Source organism: Homo sapiens, chromosome 5, assembly GCF_000001405.40.
Source record: "Homo sapiens chromosome 5, GRCh38.p14 Primary Assembly".
Taxonomy (NCBI): domain Eukaryota; kingdom Metazoa; phylum Chordata; class Mammalia; order Primates; family Hominidae; genus Homo; species Homo sapiens.
Genome location: NC_000005.10, coordinates 6,337,496 through 6,345,672, shown reverse-complemented (window position 1 = coordinate 6,345,672; position 8,177 = coordinate 6,337,496). Strand labels below are relative to the sequence as shown.

Sequence of the window (8,177 nt, the reverse complement as noted above, 5' to 3'; positions counted from 1 at the left end):
CTAGTGGGTTTCCTCCCAGAGGTCCACGCAAGACCTTGGCTCAGCAGAGTGGAGGTGCCTCCCTCCTCCTCTGTTCTCTGCTGCTCTTCCCCCGTTCCTAGTGGAAGGTCATCTGTGTCTGCCACCTCACTCCTTGGGTACCAGGTCAGTCGTGATGGCCTGTTAATTTTTCCCTTGTCACATCTTTCTTATTTGTGATTTTATGATATTCCCAGGCCCCAGTGCTAGGTCAGGGCTGACTGATGCCACTCCTGGGAACGTGTGGCTGCTTATCCCCCTGGCTTCCCTCTATTCTGCAGATAAGTGACAGGTAGTGGAGGCAGTGGTGAATGGGCACACCCTGCTCAAAGTTCAGAATGACTGCCATTTCCACCCCTCCAAGACCTGAGGTTGGTCATTCACAATCACATGGGTACTTTCCACACTGGTGGCACCTTGGAAATGATTTGCAGATAGCAGCTCATTGAGTCCTCAAAATAACCTAACAAAGAAAATATTTTACAGATGGGAAACTGAGACCTAGAGAGGTGAAGTGACTGAGTCACCCAGCTTGCAAGTGCTACAGCCCAGGTTTGAAACTGGGCAGCATGTCACTCTTGGATAGCTGCCCATGCTCTACTCCTCTCCCTTCAGCCGAAACCCTCCAGGGCCCTCCCAACAAAGCCGTCTCTGCATCATGTCCCTCCTCCTGTCTCCCTCCTTCGTCCACCCTGCCTTTCTCTAGTCATCCCGCCTTGCTTTATCTTATGAGTTTCCTTCTCCTAAGAATATGTGTGGAGCAGACTGTGAGCTTCTGAAGGCAGGCCACTTGCCTGTGCTTATTACTTAGGACTTTTGTTTACAATTCCTCATCACACCAATCATGCTGCCTCATACATATGATAGTAGCTCAATATGTGTGGAATGCAGATTATCAACTTGCTTCATGCTGACCATGCAAAGGAGAGGTGAGGCTATAGTGCATATGCAAAACCAAGTGAAAACTAAGGCAATTATGTCGATAATTCACGAAGAAAAGCACACTTTTTGGGGGGCTTAATTATCTGGATTTATCCAGTGGGCGTTTTTGAAAAAGCAATTATCCAGACAACAGCCGGAGGGTTCCCTTTCACGTTGAGTGGGTCACAGGGCGCCTGAGTCAGGAGCTTTGTGTTCTGGGGTTGGCCCAGAAGCCCAGTCATTGTTGGATTCTGGGAAAACCAAGTGGCTTCCCCGTGCCGTAGTTTTTCTTTCTGTTATTGAATGAGGCCAAGATCTTCACAGAGCTGGTTCTTGTTGCGTAATCAACCTCCTGTTTTTTGTCTTGTCTCACTTGCTAATTCTCTTAATTCCAACTTTTAGCATTCATTTTATGCTGAGTTTTTCTCTAATTGATTCTTTGGAGCTTTTTATTTCCAACGAGGTTGCAAACTGTGGTGCCAACATCCATTCCCTGCTTTCTTGGTGGACCTGCCCACCTCCTGGAACCCAGAAGTGGACCCTACAGGGCCCAAACCCACAAAGTACTGATGGCTAGGAGTGGTGACGTCACCACAGACCCCGTGCCCCAGTGCAGTGACTCTCCCCTGGCTGCTGGCTTCTGCTGCCTGCAAACACCCAAGGCGACGGCCCCTGGGTGTGGCTCCAGCATCCATGTTTCACTGAGAGAGCCCCTGATGACTGTGGTGGGGCTGACAGTCATGGCAGGGCTTCCAAAGACACCTGTGTCATGAGCTCTGTAGACATCACGTCCCCACTCAAAAAGGTTCTGATTTGAGAACATTTTGGATTTCAAATTTTTGGATTAGGGATGCTCAACCTGTATTGACTTCAAGTGTTAAGGCACCAAATAGAAGATCCATTTTTTGAATCAACCTTAAACGGGATTTCTTTTTTAAGCAGCGATTCACAAAACTGCCTCAATCTATGAGAGACTGTAAAGCTAAAAGAAAACTGCAGAGCCTCAGGGCTAGGCGGCCTGGCAGGCACACACTGACAGTGCGCTATCTTGAATGTGACCTGGTCTTGGAGATTCCATCAGAATAAATAGAGCCACGGCCCCATGCCAGTCTGAGCACTCCATTTAATTATTCAGGGGAAACTCGGATATACTCAGGCCTTGAAATGAGGCAGAAGCTTGCAAGGTTTCAGACTGTGTTCAAACTTCCCCTGCTAGCCAGCCGTGTTGGAAGCATCAAGCATCGAAGCCTCGTGAATCAGCATTTGGAGAGGGAGATCAGCCGGGCTAAATTTGGAGATTTTTGACTCAGCCATCAGTGAAATTCAGCAGTTCCTCCTGAAGCTTTTGGTGACCTTTTGGTTTCATCCAAGCTCAAATACCAAAGGCACTGTGAAAGTGGATAGAATTGTAAACCCTTGCGTGAAGATGGTGCAGCTGGCGTTCTGAGATGAGTTCATCCACCACAGGACTAAACACATCTCTGTGCCTCTAGCTTTTCCTGTGAAGGAATGGAAATGGGGTGGTGGGGAGGGGCAAGAGGTGGAGGCAAACAAAGAGGAGGTGGCAAGGAGATGCCCCTCGCCATGCCTGGCGCAGAACGCAGGAGGCACCCGTCTGGACCTCACCAGTGCCGGCGCCCCGTAGCTGTCTCCCACCAGCTCTCCACGGAGCTCAGAAGGGCCCAAGTCAATGCATCCTCCAACACATCCTCGTGTATTGCCAACTGAGCCTTTGAGCGAGTGTTCAGCTGACACTAAGTGCTTTTTGCTCTCAGCACAATTATGTACTTCTGAATAACACTCGAAGCATCCTTTGAATGTGAAAACGGGTTAGATCAAAACATCAAAGTGCACCTCTGTCCCTAATGATCCTTTTTAATGCATCTGTGGTTTCTAACATTAAGAGAAAATGTGAATTTAGCTGTGTGCTTTTATGTGTCTACTCTGTGACTTGTTTATCCAGGCTATACTTAGAAACAATAGAAGAACATAAAATATGAATACAGTATCCATATTAAAGTATAATAAACATTCTGAAGTATGTGTTAAGCTGTCAGGAGCTCTGCCGGACTGGAAGATGTAAGCTGGGGCTGGGTTCTTCATTGTGTGTGGACTGAAAGCCTCGCTAATGATGCCACTCTCTTCCAGCCCTATTTCAATATGTTTTAGCTACAGTACTTTAGCGTCAAGATCTTTTCCTCAAGCCTTTCTGGAATGAATCATTTCTTCTATTACTTATTGGTAAATATCTTGTTTTTGTTGTTTTTAAATTACAGAATAACTACATGCTCATCATAAATAAATGATGTAGAAATTAGTAACTAAAATAATAATTTCTATAGACTCACCTCGCTTATAATTTAACATTAATCTGTCCAGAATGAATATAAGTATATTCATACACAAAATGTATTGTCTGTAATCTTAACCCATTTATGGCTAGTGTTCCATTATTGGAATGCTAAGCTTGTGGGAGTTATTTGTATCCTACTGCTCAAGGTCATCGCTGTGGTCTGATTTTTCACAAAAAAATTTGCAACCTCCAGCATATAAATGGGCTAATGACATAATGCAAAGGATATTATCCAGCATGTCTTGCTTTCCTCACTTAATGTATATTTAACAACTTTTCATGAATGCCTATTTTTTGGTAGAAAAAGCTAAGTTACAAAATAAGATAAATTAAAAATACACGGCCAGGTGCAGTGGCTCACGCCTGTAATCTCAGCACTTTGGGAGGCAGAGGTGAATGGACAACGAGGTCAGGAGTTCGAGACCAGCCTGGCCAACATGATGAAACCCGTCTCTACTAAAAATACAAAAATTAGTTGGGCTTGGTGGTGGGTGCCTGTAATCCCAGCTACTTAAGTGGCTGAGGAAGGGGAATTGCTTGAACCTCAGGAGTGGAGGTTGCAGTGAGTCAAGACTGTGCCACTGCACTCCAGCTGGGGTGAAAGAGTGAGACTCCATCTGAAAAAACAAAACAAAACAAACAAACAAAAAACCCCCAACATTATGATATAGCTATTCATTGGGCAGCCATTAAAATTCTAGTTATGAAGATTATATCATTACATGGGAAATATGGTAGATGGTGAATGAAAATGATATAAAAGTATTAATATGATATAACATTATTAATAACCAAATATCCAGTTAGGGTTTTCAAACAAAATCTGTTCCTTTTCTTGGTTAAAGTGGCATTATCTTGATGAAAAAGAAAAAAAAATCTTCTGCTTTTTTGGCAAAGTTTCCCTTGGCTGTCTTTAGAGTGTGCCATCCATGTGGATGTCATTTCTCCTGATGATCCGGGTATGATGATGGGGGCTCTCTTCCCTACTTGGAGCTCCTAGGCTCACTCCCCCACTGACCTCACTCAGCTGAGTTGTTAATGGGTTTCATCCTGGCATAATCCCATTTCTATTTTTAAGCTCTTTAGACCCTCTTGGGTAAAACTAGTTTTAACTCCAAATGCACTTTCTTTTTGAATAAATGTGAATTAAGCAATTTCAGGGAACAAAATGTTTGACAATGAACAGGTTGAGTGTAAAGGATATGAATGTTTATTTGGGATATTAAATTCCAAATACAAATAATTGTATTATTCTCCAAATGCAAGGAGTATGAAAGTTGTGTCTTGTATCTTATCCTTCATAGCATGGGAGGTGTTGCTATTTGCTAAGTGTATTCTAAAATGAAATCTTAATTTCCCCCTTCCCACCCCACTTGCTGCAACTCAAATTAGCAAGTTGCACCATCATCCTCACTGTTGCTTAGGCCAAAAATCTACGTGTTCTTGTGGTAGTTAGCTTCTGCCGCAGTAACAGGTAGTCCAGACATCTCTGTAGCTTGCAACTGCAAATGTTTGTTTCTCACTCTGGGGTCTGAGGCTGGCTGCAGCTTCTAAGCTGCTCCTCTTGGCTGGACTCCTTTGGGCCACCCTTCTTCTCACCCAGGACCCAGGCTGGCAGAGAAGTTACACCCTGGGGCATGCTTTCCTCAGGGTGCAAGGTAGAAGTCAGGAAGGACAGCAGAAGCAAATGATGCCTTTTAAAGCCTCTGCTTGTATCTGGCACACTGTCACTTTATGTGCATCCCATTGCTTGGAACAAATCATGTGGTCAAGTCCAAAGTGAAGGTGCAAGGACATGCACTGTCCCCTCATATAAACCTTCACATTATTCTGCAAGTTACTTATGGCTGAGCAACTCCCACGTGCACATGTAAATAAACCTTGCCTTTTCTCCTGTTAATCTATCTTCAGTTAATTTGCAGGCCCCCAAGCATGGGACCCAAGTGGTAGAGGTGAAATTTTTTCTCCTAACAATAGCATATTTTGGCCTAGTGATTCATGATAACTGTAAGTTATTAACAATACAGTAGAATCATTCCAAGTTATACTTAACATTTAAAACTTTCATCAATGATTATGAATGATGACTCATCCCAGGGACACAATGCTTAACACCACCTGGCTTGAATACTGACTGATCCACTTACTAGCAGCTTAACAATACAATTTTATTTTTAAAAATTTATTCATTTATTTATTTTTTTTAGACAGGGTCTTGCTCTGTTGCGCAGGCTGGAGTGTAGTAGTGATATCTTGGCTTATTACAGCCTCTACTTCCTGGGCTCAAGCAATCCTCCCACCTCAGCCCCTTGAGTAGCCGGGACCACAGGCATACGCCACCACACACGTCTGATTTTTGTACTTTTTGTAGAGACAAGGGTTTCACTGTGTTGCACAGGCTGGTTTCAGACCCCTGAACTCAAGTAATCCACCTGCCTTGGCCTCCCAAAGTGCTGGGATTACAGGCATGAACCACCACACCGGCTCACAATTTTATTGTTTTACAGTCCTGAGGTTGGAAGCCCGGCACTGTCCCCCTGGGTTAAAGTGGAGGTGTCGATAGGGCGGGTCCCTTCTGTAGCTCCAGGGGAATATCTGGTCCTTGCCTTTCCCAGCTTCTAGAGGCTCCTGCTTTCCTCGGCTAGTGGCTTGTGGACCCTTCTGTCTTCAGAGCTGGCAGTGTGCGTTTCTCTGTGCCTTTCTCCATAGTCATATCTTCCTCTGACCCTGACCCTCTTTTCACTTTTGAGGAGTTTTGTGATTACACTGAGGACATGAAGACCATCCAGGACAAGTGCCCTCTTTCAAGGCCTGCTGATTCCATCTGCAACCTCAGTGTCGCCTTGCCACGTTACCTAACATAGGCACAGGTCTGGAGATCAGGACTTGGATGTTTTTAGTTTTTTTTTGGAAGTACTGTTCTGCCTTCCACACTCTCTGCAGCTTTTCTGGTGGATGCTGCATCAGAGGTAAGGAGATGCCGCCTGCACCACCCTCCACTGCCCACCCACACACCAAGCTGTAAGGTTGGGTTAAGTTTCTGATGCAACTAGGCAATGTGACCCCACGAAAGGGGCAGAGGGGCACCTGTCACACATGGGCACAGGCTGTGGGGCCAGCTGGCTGGGCTCACATCCTGGCTGCACCTCTCATGAGCTCTGTAAGCTCCCTGGGCCTCCCTTTCCTCACCTGTGAAATTGTCACAGCATGCGCACCTGCCCTCTGTGCCATGTGGGACTTGGGGGAACATCTCTAAAGCCCTTTGCCAAAGGCCAGTCAGGTAGCAAATGCTGTGTGAGGGTTTGGGACATAAACACACACTGGCAGCATGCCTGAGCGAAGCTTCCGTGGCCTTCTGAGTGTCTGGCCAGGTCATTCTGGGAGCTGTCAAATACACCTGGCTGTCTTCCTTTTCTGGTCACATGGTTCTGGACCCTTTGTCCTTTGTTGGGGCCATTGGCTTGTTCTGGAAGCTGTGCTGAGAGCACAAGTGATGTCGAACACCCCAGGTCAGAGTGTTACCATGCCAGAAGGCCCCAAACACAGATGCTCACCCCAAACACATTTTGCTGTTGGCTTCCTGGCCTAGATTCCAGCCAGGGATCCTCCTAAGGAACCTCTCTGGTCTCCTCCCGAGCTTGCAAAGAGAGGTCTGAAGAAAGCTTGCGATTGCTGAGCATGGGGGCTGGAGCACTCAGCGCCTGTCGCTCACATCTTATTTGAATTTCAGAAAAACAGGAAAAGTAAATGCATGAGATTTTTCTATTCAATTTCAAAGCCTTTTCCCAAAAGTGACTTTTGATAACTGTCATTAAAAGGAAATAGACACAGTATAAAAAAAAGCAAAAATCTTATAATGTAAAAATTACTTGATTTCCTCTGCTTTGCCACTGGTTTAATAAAAAAAAAAAAGCTCCTTTTCTACTTAAAGCTGGCATGATCATTGAATTCATAGACTTATGTCGCTGCTGGTCTTAGTGCTTAATATATACAGTGACTCATTCTACTTAATGGCATCAACAACAGATGCAGAGAAAATGCTTCACAAGCCCAAAGATTGCAGTTGGAAAACCCCGTGCAGTGGGAACAATTCTTTACTAGCCCTAATTGAGGGCAGCTACTCTTTGTGCTTGCCTGTGACAGTTTTTTTTTTCTCTCTCTTTTCCCTCCTCTCCTTACGTGTCCACCCAGATTCTGCAACCCATAGATGGTGGTCTGTGCAGACCAGCAGCCAGAGTCTGCCTTTGGCCTCTGATGCTGTTGTCCTCAACATATTTTCTCCTTCTGCACCCCTGCCCACAACTCCTCTGTGCTCCCCCTCCTCAGGGCTACTTCCTACCTGAGGGAAGATCAACCAGAGGGGGCTGGTGATCAGGACCCAGGGCAAGGGCTCCAGGGAGAGTGAGCTCACATTTGCTGGGAACCTGGGAGCACACGGTGCTGGGGAACCTGCCATCCCCCAACTCAAGTGTGAACGCAGAGCTGGATTTCAGCATCACTCAGGCCCTTTGTAATATTTATTTTGTGCATTTCTTTTTTTTTTTTTTTTGAGATGGAGTCTCACTCTGTTGCCCAGGCTGGAGTTCAATGGCATGATCTCCGCTCACTGCAACCTCCGCCTCCCTGGTTCAAGTGATTCTCCTTGCCTCAGCCTCCTGAGTAGCTGGGATTACAGGCGTGCACCACCATGCCTGGCTTATTTTTGTATTTTTAGTAGAGACGGGGTTTCACCATATTGGCCAGGCTGGTCTCGAATTCCTGACATCAAGTGATCCACCTGCCTCGGCTTCCCATAGTGTTGGGATTACAGGCAGGAGCCACTGTGCCCAGCCTATTATGTGCATTTTAAGACAATATTTTATAAAAGGATTAGGAACTTTTTCAG

The 8,177-nt window shown here is 45.6% G+C and overlaps 1 annotated feature.

Moving 5' to 3' along the window:
* Positions 2,127 to 2,627: an enhancer, noted in NCBI's record as "H3K4me1 hESC enhancer chr5:6343159-6343659 (GRCh37/hg19 assembly coordinates)". NCBI's record gives its function as "activates a minimal SCP1, AML or CMV promoter by ChIP-STARR-seq in naive H9 embryonic stem cells {active_cell/tissue: H9 hESC(naive)}" and the evidence as "EXISTENCE:reporter gene assay evidence [ECO:0000049][PMID:30033119]".